Raw genomic sequence first — 18329 nt, forward strand, 5'->3', positions numbered from 1 at the left:
TGGTCCACATATGTTGCCTCTTTGTCCTCGTCTCATGTTCAGTCAATCTCTTTACCAGGACGTTTCACGTCAGAGCAGGAAGCAGTGATGCTACCTGGGGACCTTGTCAACGCTGCTGCCTCTGAAGAGTCCCTTGCTGGGTTTATAGTTTGAGGCACTTTGTTGCATTTTTTTGAAATCCACTTTCTCCGTTGAGCCTCCTACTACTCCTGAGGAGGGAAGAAAAGGGTGGTGAAGAGATTAAGGGCAATGTGGGATTAAGGACCATGGGTGGTCCAGGCTGGTAGTTTAGTTCGTAACCCTTCAAATAAATAGCCTTAAATATTTGCCCAGGATGTATTTCTTTCTTTTTTTTTAATTTTATTGTATTTTTTTTTGCGGGGGGGATGGAGTCTCGCTCTGTCACCAGGCTGGAGTGCAGTGGCCCAATCTCGGCTCACCACAACCTCCACCTCCTGGGTTCAAGCAATTCTCCTGCCTCAGCCTCCCGAGTAGCCGGGACTACAGGTGCCCGCCACCACGCCCCGCTAATCTTTGTATTTTTAGTAGATACAGAGTTTCACCATGTTGGCCAGGATAGCCTCGATCTCTTGAGCTTGTGATCCACCCGCCTTGGCCTCCCAAAGTGCTGGGATTACAGGCGTGAGCCACCATGCCAACATGTATTTCAAGAGGATAGAGAGAGACTGGCTGTTAATAGAAATTGCACAGAAAAAGGGATTCTCTTACTAATGAATCTTGGGCAGAAGTGGTGGTGTTTACGTCAAGAAAAAGGCCTGCCCAGCATTTCCCACTTTTCTGTGGTCTTTATACTCTATATAGTTTTCTTTTGCAACTTGCTAAACTGTACAGCTTTTTGGCAGATATATTAAATGATTTTATATTTAGATAATGAAAGAAGTCACTTGTTCCCAGTAAACAGCCCCGCTCCATGGAACACATCTTTACAGAACTTCTGGTGCCTCCTGAAGAACAGAGGGCTATGCTTGGGAGAAACGCTGTATTTTTATCTTCCACTGGAGGGCGCTGTCTACTTTGGTGGAAGTGGAACCATCGATTCCACCAATTTATTCTAGCAGTGTTTCAGCTCACCTGGTGAATTTGTGCCTTGGGCAGTTGTCCAGCAGTCTACTCCTTAATCTGGCTTTTTCCAAGGTCCCACAGGGCAGTAGTCAGGGCTCGGATGAGACCCCAATCAGTGTCATTTCTACTGAGCTGGGCCACTGAACTCTAAGAGTTCTTGTCTTTGAAAAGAAGGCTTTTCAGAGCATACCGCAGCCTCATCCCATATGTGTGTATCTGTTACCCATTCCTATACTGTCTGTGACTCAATTTCCATGACTTTGCATCCTTTGCCTTTGCAAAAATATAAACTGGGCATCTTTCTTTTCTTTTCTCTTTCTTTCTCTCTCTCTCTCTCTTTCTCTCTCTTTCTTTCTCTCTCTCTCTCTCCTCTCTCTCTTTTTCTCTCTTTCTCTCCTCTCTTTCTTCCTTTCCTTCTTTCTTTCCTTCTTTTCTTTCTTTCCTTCCTTCCTTTCTTCCTTCCCTTCCTTCCTTTCTCTTTCTTTCTTTATTTCTTCCTTTCCTTCTTTCTTTCTTTCCTTCTTTCCTTCCTTCCTTCCTTCCTTTCTTCCCTTCCTTCCCTTCCTCCCTCCCTCCCTCCCTCCCTCCCTTCTTCCCTCCTTTCTTTCTTCCTTTCTTTTTCTCTCTCTTTCTCTCTCTCTCTCTCCCTCTCTCTCTCTCTTTCCCTCTCTCTCTCTCTTTCTCTTTTTCTTTCTTTGTCTCACTCTGTCACCCAGGCTGCAGTGCAGTGGCGCGATCTCCACTCACTGCAACCTCCGTCTCCTGGGTTCAACCGATTGTCCTTCCTCAGCCTCCTGAGTAGCTGGGATTACAGGCATGAGCCAAGGTGCCCGGCCTCGGCATCTTTCAAATAGGATCTGCTCCCTAGGTCATGACTCTCCCTCTGGATCCACTGCCGCACAGTCTCCCAAGTTGTCAGCACATGGCTTTAAAGTAGGGCTTCTCCAACTTTAACGTGCAAAGGAAATGTCTGGTATCCAGTGAAATGCAGATTCTGATTCAATAGGCCTTGGCAGTGGGGCCTGAGATCCTGCATTTCTAACAGGCCCTGGGTGGTGTCACTACCGGTTAATGTACCACTTTTCAAACGTCAAGACTTTACCTATTTATCCCATCCTGTCATTGTCCCACTCGTTTTTGCATATAGAAGGTCCCCCCCGCCCCTATAAACTCAAGGATGGAGGCTGGTCAATATCTATTTGGAGCTTCGCCTCTTACTTTGTTCTCATCAATTGCTCCTGCAGGGCCCCTCTCCCTAGCTTTGCTCCATCTCATCTATTCCTCTTTCCCTAGTTGAGCAAGCATGAAGCATTGTGTTGGTGATTGTGTCTGCCACATCTGTCCCCTGAGTGGTCTTTCACTATCATGCAGAGTAACTTCTTTTCATTTTCTCTGATCTTGCCTTTTCATTGAGAGCCTGAATCAGGACACAACAAACGATAGCATAATGGTAATGACAGATGTCACCTGTGCATAAAGTGCTTTTATACCCACAAGGCAGTACTGGTCGAGACTATGGGCTAGGGCTCCACAGTCGGCCTGCCTGTGTTCAAATCCTATCTCTGCCGCTTCCCAGCTGGGTGGCCTAGGCTTAGTTACTTAACCTCTCTGTGTCTTAGTTTCCTAATTTTCAAAATGTGGCGATGCTGCTTTATGAGGTCCTTGTAAAGATTAAATAAGATAATGTATGTGAAGCATCTAGAATAGGCCTGACACACAGTAGGCACTCAATTATGGTCAGGAATGTTATGATTCCTTTATCCTGTGAGAAAGGTGAATTATTACTTCCATTTTAAAGACGAGGACCTTGAGGCCCAATGAGGAGAAATGACTTGCACTCAAGAGCCCACAATAAGAACAGCAGCACAGCAGGGACCAACCCTGACTCCAACCCAGTGCTCACTGTACCCTCTCCCAACCCTGACTCCAATCCAGTGCTCACTGTACCCTCTCCCAACCCTGACTCCAATCCCAGTGCTCACTGTACCCTCCCCACCAACCCTGACTCCAATCCCAGTGCTCACTGCACCCTCTCCCAACCCTGACTGTAATCCCAGTGCTCACTGCACCCTCTCCGAACCCTGACTCCAATCCCAGTGCTCACTGTACCCCCTCCACCAACTCCAATCCCAGTGCTCACTGCACCCTCTCCACCAACCCTGACTCCAACCCCAGTGCTCACTGCACCCTCTCCCAACCCTGACTCCAATCCCAGTGCTCACTGCATCCTCTCCCAACCCTGACTCCAATCCCAGTGCTCACTGCACCCTCTCCCAACCCTGACTCCAGTCCCAGTGCTCACTGCATCCTCTCCACCAACCCTGACTCCAATCCCAGTGCTCACTGCACCCTCTCCCAACCCTGACTCCAATCCCAGTGCTCACTGCACCCCCTCCTAACCCTGACTCCAATCCCAGTGCTCACTGAACCCTCTCCCAACCCTGACTCCAATCCCAGTGCTCACTGCACCCCCTCCCAACCCTGACTCCAATCCCAGTGCTCACTGCATCCTCTCCCAACCCTGACTCCAATCCCAGTGCTCACTGCACCCATTCCACCAACCCTGACTCCAATCCCAGTGCTCACTGCACCCTCTCCACCAACCCTGACTCCAATCCCAGTGCTCAGTGCACCCGCTCCACCAACACTGACTCCAATCCCAGTGCTCACTGCACCCTCTCCACCAACCCTGACTCCAGTCCCAGTGCTCACTGCACCTTTTCCCAACCCTGACTCCAATCCCAGTGCTCACTGCACCCTCTCCCAACACTAACTCCAATCCCAGTACTCACTGCACCCTCTCCCAACCCTGACTCCAATCCCAGTGCTCACTGCACCCTCTCCACCAACCCTGACTCCAATCTCAGTGCTCACTGCATCCTCTCCCAACCCTGACTCCAATCCCAGTGCTCACTGCACCCATTCCACCAACCCTGACTCCAATCCCAGTGCTCACTGCACCCCCTCCCAACCCTGACTCCAATCCCAGTGCTCACTGCACCCTCTCCACCAACCCTGACTCCAGTCCCAGTGCTCACTGCACCTTCTCCCAACCCTGACTCCAATCCCAGTGCTCACTGCACCCTCTCCCAACCCTGACTCCAATCCCAGTACTCACTGCACCCTCTCCCAACCCTGACTCCAATCCCAGTGCTCACTGCACCCTCTCCACCAACCCTGACTCCAATCCCAGTGCTCATTGCACCCTCTCCACCAACCCTGACTCCAAGCCCAGTGCTCACTGCACCCTCTCCCAACCCTGACTCCAATCCCGGTGCTCACTGCACCCTCTCTGTGCTTCCAAACACGGAGTTTCATTACCATCAACTCACAACCCTGAGTGTGACTGTTTTCCAGGCATCCTGCTGATCTTTTGTTTTCTCTTTCCTTCTAATGGAGCATTTCCAGCTGGGGTGATTCATGGATCTGGGACCGCATGGCTCCCATTAACTTCGAGGAAAGTCATAAGGCAAAACCCACATCAATCAAGTCTCCAAATTACTCATCCATCTTTTCAGGTGACACATGGATTAAGATGAACGTGGAGTGAAGTGGGTATCATAGAATAACTATTTAGATTTATGAAAATCGTGTCAGAGCTTACACCAAGTCCCCAAATGGAAGCTTGCTCTGTTTTCACGGCATGGTTAAACTTCAGGGATAAGAGACAGAATGTCATAATAGAAAGGCCTTGAAGCTTGAAGTCTGAAGGGCTGGGACTCCCAGCTTCACTATTTGCTAGACTTTTGATCACCAGCAAGCCCTTTAACCCCTAAGAATCTGTTTTCTCGTTTTATTGTTCATCCTTCAAACAGACCAAAGAGTGAGTTATTATCCCCACTTCACAGATGTGGAAACTGAGGCACAGAGAGAGTAAGTGACTTGCTCAAGGTGATAAGACCACCAAGGAATGAAGCAGGGCTTGACACCCCTATATATGAGTCCAGAAACCTATATCCTTGTACCACTCTATCTCATAAATGAGATGGTGAGTCTAAAAGCACCAGATACTGGATAGGAGCTTAATATACCTTTACTGAATCTGAGTCTTGAGGATGAAGCCCATATCTTATCAATCCTTATTATTATTATTATTTTTGAGACAGAGTCTCACAGTGTCACCCGGGCTGGAGTACAGTGGTGTGATTTTGGCTCATTGCAACCTCCGCCTCCCGGGTTCACGAGATTCTCCTGCCTCAGCCTCCCAAGTAGCTGGGATTACAGGCGCACAGTAGGTTCTCAATTAATAGGAGTTGAGCTGCATTATTCCCCCATGGAAATGGTTCTGTTTTTATTTAATGATTTGCTTAGATGCATTTTAATATGCAGACCACAATGCTTCTTGTACAATATCTTCTGGACTGCGAGGCGCGGGCATTCATTATTTTATGAGACGCATATGTCATGCATAGCACAAGCCCTTTTCTTAAACCAACACAACATGCAAATAGAAATTTCATGTAAAATCACATTCAGACAGTCTCAAAGTAGAAACAGATGTCTGAAAAATATGAACGCCAGGCTTATTAAATATTTTATCATCAAATATTTCATACATTTCAAAAATGTCATCTGTGAAAACACAGAAATACCGCCTCAGGAGAACCAAAATATTTAATCACTTTCAAGAAATTCTTAAAAATAAGTCTTCACCTCAGAACTATTCCAGGCAGAGAACAAATTTCCAGGTGCTGCAAGCTATATTTATTATATTTTCATCAAAATCAGTAACCTAGTTGAAGGAGATACAGTAATCAGTAAGGTCATTATTAGGTAAGATAATGACTTCTGAATGAATTCTCTCATTAATCTCATTACAAAATGGTAATGGTACCTGACTAATCATGCCGGAGGGGAGAGCTGTGTTGAATCAGAGCAAAATTAAGGCTGTAATCCCAGAGCTGCCCCCACCGTTTCTTCATGAAAGCCTCACTTGGGGTTTCGGGATGGGCTGGAAGCCTCTGACAGGGCAGCCTGTTGATCTGAAGGTTGGGGCACCCCATGTGGCCAGGGGGAGAGTGAGATGGCTGAGTAGCAGTCAGGAAAACCAGCCTCTTCCTGCTTCTGTTGCTAACTTCCTGGGTTCCTTCGGAGACGTCATGCCTTCCTCTGGGTTCAGTTTCTGGGTTTTCTGATTTTTGTTCCCTGCTTCCACCCTTGCCCCTTTTATAGAGTCCATTCTCTACCCAGGAGCCAGCATGGCCCTGAAACTCATAAGCGTGGTCATGTCATTCCCAACAACGTTGTGCGTTTCACCCAGAGAAGGGGCCGTATTCCTACATGGACCACACCCCCTGTGTCACCTGCCTCCATTGCCTCTCTGACCTTATCTTCTACCATCTTTCCTGTCACTTGCTTCCCTTCAGCAACACTGACCTCCTTGCTGTTCCTGGGACACTGCAGGCATGTGCTTGCTGTTCCCTCTGCCTGGATTGTCCCCACCCCCATCCCATGTGTCCACATGACTCACCTCCTTCCCTCTTTCAAGTCTTTGCTCGAAGGTCACCTTCAGCAATGCCTACCCTGACCACCATATCGAACCCTGCAAACTCTGCATCAGCACCCCAATCTATGTTTTCTTTCTCTATGTCCTCACTGCCTTCTGACACACTATTGTTTCTTGTCTGTGTCTCTCACCCCCACCCCTCCCACCCCTGTTGGAATGTACGTCTGAGAGCTGGGATCCTGGTAGACTCATTGACATGCCCGGCACGTAGCCGATATGCAATAACTCTGATAAATGTGGAATTTATCACATGCTTGTAGATTCCCAATGTTGCTGGACACTAAGGGAGGAACCCCAGTGTGTGAGACCGATGACCAGGGACGACTAAGTGTGCATTCACTGCAGCGAGGTCCTCTGTTGGTGGGGCTGGCTTTGCTTTTTCATCCTGTTAGAAATTGGAGCCTCATCAAGTTCCTTTATTCCGATGAGAGCTAGCCTGAGTACACACATTCTTGGTGGCAGTGTCTGGAGTCAGAGAAATCTCAACAGCCAGGAGAGCTGGGCCAAATGGAGTGAGATGGAATTGACAGAGGTGAAAAGGAAGCCTTGTTCCGGGCTCCAACCCCAGTGTGCAGGTGCAGGGTGTGGGTGATGGGGGTTCCACAGGCACACGCATGCAAAAACCTCAAGGGTCTCAGCAGATGGGAATTCAGGCTGTTTGAATAGATTCCTCATGACAAAAATAAGACAGGTAGCAATCTCATACTAACCCTCACTGGTCCAACCACCTAGAATCAAGTCAGTTCTGCGGTTTACATTGGTGCCAAAGATAAAATGGAACATGGCGTGGTGGGGAGGTAGTTTTCATTAAATGCTCGATGAGTTAAGCTCTGAATTAACACATGAATATATTTGTTTCTGTGTGCCCCATTTTATGGGGATGCAATAATAAATTGTCCAGAGCTAACAGGGGGCCTGAAAACCATACCACCGAAGGGACAATGAAAAAAACAAAGGGAAGTTTAACCTGAATAACAGAAGGCAGGGTGAGAATAGGCCCCGTCTTTAGTAACTGCAGGACCAGCACGTGAAAGCTGGATTACTTTAATATGGCTTTAGAACAGGGATTGCTGGTAACCAATCCAAGTGCCACCACGTGCCACTTCCAACCCAGTGGCAAACATCATTAATCAATCATAAATACTTTCCCATAAAGCCAGACCAAGTCTCAGAACCCTTCTCAACACAGTGTCCCAAACTCCCTCACCCAAATTGAACGAACACACAAGGTAAAATAAAATTGTGATACTTTGCCTAGAACAATGATTGAGAGCTCGTTAACATTAAGAAAAACACATTTTGCTAGACGCGAAGATGGAGTATCCTGGGATGGGATGGGGGGGCAGTGAGTTTCTAGACCATTATTGTTTAAGAAGAGGTTGTTTCTCTCCCTTCCTTCCCATGATGGTGTCCAGTGACAAGGTTGGCATCTGAGCTCTCATTGGTACACGGGACGCATTTCCAGTGTTGAGAGCTCAGACCTGTAGTTATATCTAACAAAGCGCCTTAACAGCTAAGGATAGTGATTAGTGCTCAAAAACAGCAGGCACAAGGCCCTTCAATGCAGTGAACGGTGCCCTGGAAATGCTTCCTGATTGCTCCCAGGAAGTTCTGCCATTTTCCCCTGCTAACCAGGTCCCAATGTCAACAGCTCTTGCCAGTACTACATTCCTTGGATTTTGGCTCATATACTACTTAATGTCCAGGTTCAGCGGTTCATCTCGTAGCACCCCTGCCCCAGGGCCCTTTTGCCAGTGACTATGGGTGTCTGTGGTGAGCCTACACCCTGGCAACTTCAGCCGTGTTTCCTGCTAGGGCATATGGGAACTTCCAGCTCCTCTATGTGATGGAGAGAAAGGAACTGGGCTCTCTCTCAGCCTAATTATACCACACCTGAATTCCTTTCAGCTGCCCATGTTGGTGCAGGAGTGCTCTTAAAGGTTCTGCCTCCCAGAGTAATGAAAGATACAATGGAGCATAAGTGTATTCTCCCTTCAACTTTCCACCTATGATATCCACAAGACCTTTCTGCCACCTATTCCTTCCCTGCCCCATCCTGGGATTTCCACTGTAAAAGAGAGCCAGGACACTTGAGTCTCTTCTTGGCATATTTCCTCCTCTCTCCTCATTTTTCCTTTCCTTCCCCTTTCTGTCTGATGGGAACTTACCTTATCAATCATCATCTTCTCTATAATGCGACTTTATAGAAAAATTGCACAATCTGAGATCATCAGCCTCTGTTCTTGATGGTAAAGAAGCATTTAGAATTTAAAGAACTTTAATCTTTCTCAACAAAGCCTATCTTTTAAGCTATTGCCTCAAAACTCTAGTCTGATTTAAAGTAGAACAATGACTTTTTTGGCCTAAACGCTAGGTGGTACACACATCTGTTTCTGAAGAAATAAAGATCATTGAGTGAATGGAAAGCCACAGGACATATGACTCGTGGAAGGAAAAACTTGATTTTCTATCTTAAAAAGTTGTTTTCTATGGAATAACCAAAGTGTATAAGAATATTTGTGTTTGGGGGTGTTCACTATAGTATTATTTGTCGTTAAAATAAAATTGGAAGCAACCTGAATGTCCACGAAAAGGGGATCAGTTAAGTTGGGGTTTTTAATGTTATAGGATATTGTTCATTCACATGGGTAAAATTTTGTAGTATTAGATGAAGAAAGCATATTATAAAATAGCATATTCAATATGACTTTGTAAAAAAGTATATAACTGTCTATCTCCGGATGATAAAATGAGTGATTTTTAAAATGTTCTTCTTTGAGCTTTTTTATATTTTTGAAATTACTATTGAACATCTGTTAGTTTTGTGGTCAGAAACGAATGACAAATGCTCTGTTTATTTTATGGAGAAGAAAATACAGATGATCTCTTGATGGGGATGAGAGGGCACAGAGGATGCTGTGACCATTCTAGTCTCTCTAAGTCCAGAGACTCTAGTTCTGTGATGCCCCCAACTTTGACCTCTGGCTGTGTGGTATGATGACAGAGTGGAAAGGTCCACTCCAGGTTTGGTGGTTCCCAAGCCCTTGGACAATAGCCAGTGCTCCAACAAGTACAGAAAGTGCCTGCTCCCAACGAAGCCTTCCCACCATAGCAATACTCCAGTTGATTACAGAACTATGATGCCAAGAGAGCTTTCTGCCTGTGCTCAAGCCTTGAGTACGCTGGAGCTTCAATCTTTTATGAAACAGCTTTTCGTTTCTTCTTTCTTTACCAAGGGCTTTTACAAGCCACTGAGTGGTTCTTTGTGCATCAATTTTTAATCTTGTTAAGGTTTCTTTTTCCACTTGACCAGTCCTCAGTTTATAAATAACACATCAAAAATTTGCTCCAATTCTTTCTGTAGGCTTTGTTTGCGTTTGTTTAAAAATGGTCTCCTATTGAGAAGGAAGAAAGTGGTGAACACATCACTGTCTGCCTGTGTCCTCCCCCATATACAGACTTTCCATGGCTCCCTATGCCAGTCAGAGCAAGCCCAGACTTCTCCACGTAGCACTCAAGGCATGCCATGACCTGGCCTAACCATCTTTTCTAGCTCAGTTCCTCCCATCATTCTCCCAACACACCCCAGAAGCCAGGAACAACTGCTGTTCCAGGCCGTGTTCCACCTTACAGTCTTCCTCCCTGTGCTCACCCCACGTCCTCTATTGGGAGTGCCTGAAAAGACCTGGAGTGATTTTGATTTAACATGTTTCTGTATGGTTCTCTGTGAGTTATGTTTCAGTTTCTGACATGCTAGATTTGCCTAGTTCCCTTGTAGATATGGCTATAGTTTAATAGAGTCTGGACTTGAAGATCAGACAGATCTGTGTTTGAATTACACTCTGTGGCATTGGTCAAGAATTGATAGCTTCATTCATCTATTCATAAAATGGAGAGAGTAATGCCCACCCAACAGATCAGTTATAAGAATAGAATACTATTGCTTATGTAAAACTATGGAGTAATGGGCCTGGTACATAGGAAGAGCTCAAAAATTATGAAATCTGGGTCTTAGGCAATATTTGTATATCCAACTGCTCAAGTATGTTTGAAACACCTGTATGCTCACCACCTAGATTCAACAGTTGTTAACATTTGGTCATATATGCTTTATCTATCTATATCTATTCATCTAGCCATCCATTATCTACATATCTATCTGTCCGTCTTCTATCAATTTAGAGCTATGTAACCATCTCTCTCTCTTTTCTTTGGGGGGCGGGCTGTAGTACTTGAAAGAAGTTGCAGATATAATTCTTCAACACTCATGCATCTAAAAATAAGAACATTCTCTTACACAACCAAATGCCACTTTGAATCTAAGAACATTCACAATAATCCTATATTATCTAATATCAAGTCCTCATTAAAATTTCCCAATTGTCCCCAAAATGTTTTTATAGTTTGCCCCTAACCAAGATCCAATTAAGGTTCACATATTGCATTTGGTTGTTATATTTCCTCTGTCTCCTTTAATCTTGAACATCTCTCACCTAGGCCTTTATTGACTTTTGAAAATATTAGGCTACTACTGTCTTGTAGAATGTTTCACATTTTGGAGTTTCCTGCTTGTTTCCTTGTCACATCTTTTAACATTTTACCCCCATCTCTTGTATTTTTCATCAACTAATTGGCATAGATTATAGATCCCCCTAAAATGGCCAGGTAAAGACTTCATTCTTTCATTACCAAGTTTCAGAGTAAGGAGTTGGGGTAACAGTCCCTTTGGTGCTGGCCTCCGAGTTTCCCTCTTCTCTGTCTCTTTTTCTCTCTGTTTTTCTCTCTTTTAAAGTATTCACTAAGATCTCTTGGATCTTTTTTTCTTCTATCCATCCCTCTATCCATCCATAAATTCATCTAGGTATGATGTAACGATCCAATTTTATGATTTCCCAAGTGACTAGTTGTCCTATATCATTTGTGTTAAAGTTCATATTTCTCCAAAGATTTGAGATTCCTCCTTCAGTAACATCAAATTTCCATGTGTAGTGGGTCTATTTCTGGTCTTTTTATCCTGTTCTATTGATATATCTGTTAAATTATGTGTTAATACTATATCATTATAATTTTAGAGGTTTTCTTATATATTTTAGTATCTGAGAGAACTAGCTCCTCTGGCTATTGCTCTACATTCTTGATGTCTTCCTGGCTGTTCTTGTTTGTTTTCATATGAACTTTAGAATCAAGTTGTCTAGTTTCAGAAAAAAAGTGTTGGTATTTTTACTGCAATTGGCCTAAATTTATTATTTGTTTATTATTTTGGGGATATATTGAGTTGTATTATCTTAAGAGTATTTATGAAGATAATTGTATTATTTTTCTTCTTAGAATTGTTAATTTTTAGAATTACATTAATTTCCTAATATTGAACCATCCTTGAATTGTTGTAATAAAACTTGGCCATATGTAGTTTTTCAATGTGCTATTGGATTTTTTGATACAATTTTTGTATAGTTATTGATAAGTGAGATTGGTCTGTAACTTTTTTGCACAATATTTATTGGGTTAAGGTATTAATATTATTTTCATTATATAAATGACATTCAAAATTTGCATTATTTTTCTGTTATTTGGGACAGTTTAAATGGCATTGGGATTATCTGATTTTTGAAGGAATAGTATAATTCCCCTCTTAAACCATGTGGACCCAGTAGTTTTATGGTTGGTTAGTTATTCCATAACTTTCTCTATTATGGATATTGATCTATATAAGCTATCTCCTTTTGTGTCAATTCTGGTAAATTATATTTTTCCTAGAAAATCATTCCATCTAGGCTTTAAAATTTACATACACTTGATTGTACAAAGTGATCTTACTAATTTCTTCTGTTTCAATGGTTATTTCTTCCTTGTCATTTCTTATTTTGTGTATTCCTTCTGATTATTTTTCATGACGAAGTTAACTCTATTCAGTCTGTCTATATTTTTTTTTCCTAGAACTTATAAAAGTTTCCACTGTAATGCAGTGTATCATTAATTTTTATGAATGTTTCATGTGCACTTGGATAAAAGATGTATTCTCTACTATCAGGGTGTAAGTTTTGATAGCTATACATGAGAATTATCTTACTGATTCTGTTGTTTAGAAATGTTGTCCATTTTTATCTTTTGTCTACTTCACCTTTTTGGAGTGAGAGTGGTATTTAAAATCTCTCGTCATTAGTGCTTTCTATACATTTCTGTTTGCATTTCCTGTAGTTTCTGCTTTCTGAAGATTGCTCTGTGTCAGGGGTCCCCAGTCCCTGGTCCGTGGCCTGTTAGGAACCAGGCCACATAGCAAGGGGTGAATGGTGGCTGAGTGAGCATTACCACCTGAGCTCCACCACCTGTCAGATCAGTGGTGCCATTAGATTCTCATAGGAGCTTGAATTGTATTGTGAACTGTGCATGTGAGGGATCTAGATTGCACACTCCTTATGAGAATCTAATGTCTGATGATCTGACATGGAACAATTTCACCCTGAAACCATCCCCACTCCCACTGCCATGTGTGGAAGAATTGTCTTCCACAAAACTGGTCTCTGGTGCCAAAAAGGTTGGGGACTGCTCTATGTTATTTGCTGTGTTGATATCCATATTGTTACATCTTCATTGTGAATTGCAGCCTGAAATTATTAAGTGTTCTGCTTTGTCTCACTTGATTTTTCTGGCCTGAATTTTACCCTGTGATAGGTCAAGGTATCAGATTTCTTTTCACCTTGCATATTTTGGTTCAATCCTTTATTTTTAGCCTTATCTACTCACTTAGTTTCTGATATGTATCTTGAAAAACAGGATAGATTTGAGTTTTGTCTCATAAGCCAATCTGAAAATCTTTTTATTCCAGTAGGTAAGTTAAGCCTATTTACATTTATTGATATGATTTTAGTCTTAGTTCTGTCATTTGCCATTAAAATTTTTTTTGTTTTGTGTTTTTATTTCATTTGGTGTGTAGAAAGGTTTGAATATTTGCTTTAGTGGTTATGTTCAGCTAACAGCTTTACTTAATGCTGTTAGTCTCCTTTCCTTACTTATATTAACTACTATTTGCTTTTTTGACCTTAAATGATATTCTTTGATTCTCACCTATGTAGCAATAATTAGCTTATTTTACTTTTCACTTTTTCTCTCCCTTCCTCCTTTTTAGTCATATGATTTCAACTTTCTCAGAATATGATATCTACATACTATTCTTCCATCTTTGTGGAAATCTAAATTTTAGTCATACATCTATGATTAAATACATCCAATGATCAAAATCTGTTCTGTCAACATTTCTCCAATCATCTCCTGGTTGGAAAAAGTTCTTGTAGATTTCTCAGAAGGGACTCATGAATGCAATATTCTATAAATTTTTTATATTTAAACTATTTTTCTTAGTCTTGATATTGAAAGACAGATCAATGGACATAAAATTCCTTCCTTCCAGGTTTATTTTAACTTGAGTTTCTTGGAAACGTTACTCTATTGATGACTAGCTTTATGTGTTGCTGCTATAGTCTGAATGTGTGCCCCAAAATTTATGTGCTAGAAACTTAATCCCCAGTGCAACAATGTTGGGAGCTGGGGCCCTTGGGAGGTATTTAGGTCCCAGGAAGGGTCCTCATGAATGGATCAAAGTTGTTATAAAAGGGCTTTCCAGAGTGGGTTCACTCTCTTCTGCCATGTGAGGACACAGAGTTCATCCCTTTCTTGTCCTTCCACCTGCCACCATGTGAAGACACAGAGACAAGGCACCTTCTTGAAAGCAGAGAGCAGCCCTGAGTGGCACCAATGTCAGCACCTTAATCTTGGACTTCTTAGCCTTCATGATCATGGGAAATAAATTTCTGTGTATAAAATTACTCAGTCTTAGGTACTCTGTTATAGCAATACAAACTCACTAAGACAGTTGCTATTAATAAAAGTTGTGCCAAGATTATTTTATTTCCTTGGTCTTTATGTTTGAAAGCTCAGAAAGTATTTTCTTCTACTTAAGTATCTAATATTTTCACTAGGGTATGACTTGGAGTTGACCATTCTGAGCAGCCTTTTCAATGTGTAAATTCATGTCTTCTTTTATTTCAGGAAAGTTCTTGAATTATAGTTTTAATTAAGGATCCTGTTCCATTGTTTTTCTTTTTTAATTCAAGAACTCTGATGATACATATGTTAACCTTCCTTGCCTGTCTTCAATAGCTATCATGTTCTCTCCAATCCTTATAACCTTTTCTTTTGGCTTTGTTTTCTCGGCTCTTTTCATTTCTATCTTCTTGGTTGTAACTGTTCTCCCTTGGGGTATTTCGTAATTTAGTCTTTATTTTTCGTATGCTTTTATGTTTCTTTCCATTTCTCGAGTCCAGCCAGCTCCTATTTCATGCCTTCCTGTTGTTTACACTATTTATTTTTTGAGTTTTGAACTTGTCAGAAAGTGTCGATCTTTAATATCTAAATTTTATTTTTTAAGTATTTTTGCCCCTATTGGAATTTTGTGTTATAGTTTTCCTGTGTCATGTCTTTGTTTGTGTATGTTTTCATCTGCTGTAATGTTTTGATTCTCATTTTCCATTTTCTTTTTAAACTAACTTTGGGTGGATGTTGGGTTATTTTAATGTTTATTATTATCTATTTCAGCTGGACTTTCCTAACAGATAAGCATAGAGATAGGAGGAATGGGTTTGAGTGGCTTACTTGGTTCTAAGTTCAAAATCTCTTTCTTTTGTTGCTACAGAAAAGAACAATTCTTTAAGAAATAGGGCTTTAATGTGACTTTTTCTGATTCTTTGATACTCCCTTGTTTGAGGGATTTTGTGGGGAGGGGTCATGTTTTTCTTTCTTTTCATCTTCAAGCCCTCAAGGGATCCCCCCCTTTCTAAGAATCTTCCCTCTTCCTGGAAGCAGCACAGTCTCAAGGCTGTCTCCTACCTGTAGTAGGAGAACCTCTTTATAGCAATCTTATTTTCGACTCCCCGTAGGAAATATTTAATCTCCCAGGTCTCAGATCTGTTCTTTGTGGTGCTCTTTTACTCAGGCTGGAGAAATACCTCTCTTTCTTGGGATGAGATTTGGTTAGTGTCACCTGAATTCTACCACTCTAGGACCTTGCCGCAGTCTTTGCCTCACCTTCTGCTGTGCTGTGCATTCAGAATCAACCTCACTGGCTTCAGATGTTTGTTTTCCCACTTAAATGTAAATGGAAGCTTCTAATGTTTTCTGACTCCTAGCTATGCTATAGGCGTGGGCCAAGAGTAATTTTATTTGCTCTGCTTTTCTGTTCTGTAAGACTTTCAGGAGGATGTATGGACAAATTTGAATCTAAGTGGCTGCTGTTATCCTTAGTAATCCTGAAGGCCAAACCTGAGTCTTTGAAATGTATTAATGAAGGTAATAATTGGTCTTAATTGGATAATAATTACCAGTGCAAATATTTTTATTCCCTCAAAGGAATCACCGTATCATTCATTTAACTAACTATTTACTGAGCAGCAATTATGTGCTTGTATTAGGCAAAATCTGATCTACCACTTGCTACTTGTTAAGACCCTGGGAGGGAGCTAATGCAGACGTACCTTATCATCCCCATTTCACACATGAGATTTTCCCTCACCAATTATTCTGCAGGCACATTGGCCTTCTCCCAATTTCTGAATGATTTATGCCCCAGGACCATTGCACAGCCATTATTTATCTGCCTGGAGCACTCTATCACTGACTTTTTTTGTAACCTTCCGACTTTAATATTACCGCTTCATTATTTTCTTCCACACTCACCTCCATTATTTGTTGTTACTATACATTGTTCAGTTCCTTTGTAGCTCTTGTCACAATTTGTATTGAGATACATAGATATTTGGCTGTTTGCTGATGTATTGTCTGTCTCTCCATTAAACTGTAAATTCTGTGAGGACAGAAATCACACCTGTGTTCAATCTTGTCTGGGTTCAGCCACGTCAAAGTGCTAGGAACATGTAGGACTGCAACAAATATTTGCCAAATGAATGATGCCCAGAGAGGATAGGCAGTTAGCCCAAGGTCACACAGCAGGTTAACGGAGGATCCAGAATTAGAATCCTGGTCCCTCCAAGCTAAGTGGTTCATTCATTAGCGACGTTGCCTCTTCATGGAGGATGCCATCCTCTCTCTGGGGATAAAAGACAGATGTTCTCTCTCATTTTTGCCTCATTTAACCTTCTAAAAAATCTCCGTACTCAATGAGTATGGGGAAAACCTGATTTTAAAAGTTAATTAACGTCAGACCACAGTTTTCTGAAGTTAGCCACGAAACCCAATCTCTGTGCTCAGCCGGCAGCCTAAGGGACTGACCAGAAGGGCTCAGGGGACAGGGCAGCTGTGGTCCAGTGGCTGTAGATATTCAGCCACTTCAAAAGCAACAGGACTGTATTGGGCATTTATTAGCTGCCAGGTAGGGCACTGGGCACTGGGGATTGAAAAATAAACAAGACAGACATTTCCCTGCCTCTGGTTGCTCCCAGTGCAGTCAGAATTCCAGAGCAGCACATCGAGCGCTGTGAATGGGAAGGACCAGGGGCAGTGGAAGCCCAGAGGAGACACTAGGCCATTCTCAGGGCTCAGGAAAGAGGGCTTCCAGGAGGAAGGGACTTGAAGGATGAGCAAGAGTTAACCAGATGAAGGACAAAGAAGAGATAAGTGCAACAGGTAAAGCGCTAAAGAAGAGCCCAGACGCAAGAGGGAACAGAACACACTGAGATGATTCCAGAGGCGTCAAGTTGGAACCCAGCCAATTGGCAGTGTGGTGGAATGACCAGAGAGGAGGCTGGGGCCAGGTCAGAGAAGGACCTGGAGGCTGTGCCAGGAGTCAGGCTGTGACCTGGAGGTCAATGGGGAGCCATGACAGGGGGTTCCTCTGAGGAGTGACACAAATCACAGCATCTGAGTGCAGAAGGGACCTCACCTGTGATCCAGTCCCACCACCCTCTCAGCTTAGGAAGCTCTGCTGGAAGTTGCACACCTCACCTCTAGTGACAGGAAGCTCATCTCTCTGGATTGCCTATCTTGCTAGATTGCTCTGATAAGAAGAGAATTCTTCCATATAATGAGCTAAAAGCACGGCTCTAAATGCAGCTGCTCTAACACAAGGGACAGAATAAACCACAGCTGCTCTGATATTGTTCTCACTCCTGAGTTCTGTCCATCTGTCCCCATCCCCCCACCCTTGCTTACCCACTCCACATTTGTGTTCTTTGCACCTCTTAGTCACCTGCCAGTCACTCCAGTTCCTGGTTCTTGGTTGATGTGGAGACCCCAGTTGTTAGCTTTCTGTATCTTGGTCCCTACCCTGACCCAACCTGGGCCCTCTCTGGGTCCCAGGCCCAGATTCTCGCTTCATCTTTCAGGTTCTGCCCAGCTAAGCCCACACGACGCTGAGTTATTAAACAAATTCTGCCAAATGGAAGTATCTGCCACCAAGCACATTTCACATGGGAAAAGAGAATTTTCATCTATCAAAAGCACATTTATTTCAAGGGAGCCTATCACTCACTGAAATTCACAGGAGAAAGAGAGTCCCAAGAAAATCAAGGGCATTTGCATTACAATCCACCTCAATGCCCAAAAATATCCCGCTGAACATGCAGAATTTCAAGGAAAACAGTATGTTTTGCTTATTTGCAGGAAAGAAATGAATGTTCAAGAGAGGGAAGGGGCTGTGGTTTAAAATCTCCAACTTGCAAAGGAAAGCATATGTCAACCAAAGAATCATCTTTGACCCTGCAGATTTTGGAGCTGGTCCTGTCGGGGCAGG

At 42.9% G+C, this 18329-nt stretch overlaps 1 annotated feature.

Moving 5' to 3' along the window:
- Positions 2204-2752: an enhancer, noted in NCBI's record as "NANOG hESC enhancer chr9:116501075-116501623 (GRCh37/hg19 assembly coordinates)". NCBI's record gives its function as "activates a minimal SCP1, AML or CMV promoter by ChIP-STARR-seq in naive H9 embryonic stem cells {active_cell/tissue: H9 hESC(naive)}" and the evidence as "EXISTENCE:reporter gene assay evidence [ECO:0000049][PMID:30033119]".

This window comes from Homo sapiens, chromosome 9 (genome assembly GCF_000001405.40).
Source record: "Homo sapiens chromosome 9, GRCh38.p14 Primary Assembly".
Taxonomy (NCBI): domain Eukaryota; kingdom Metazoa; phylum Chordata; class Mammalia; order Primates; family Hominidae; genus Homo; species Homo sapiens.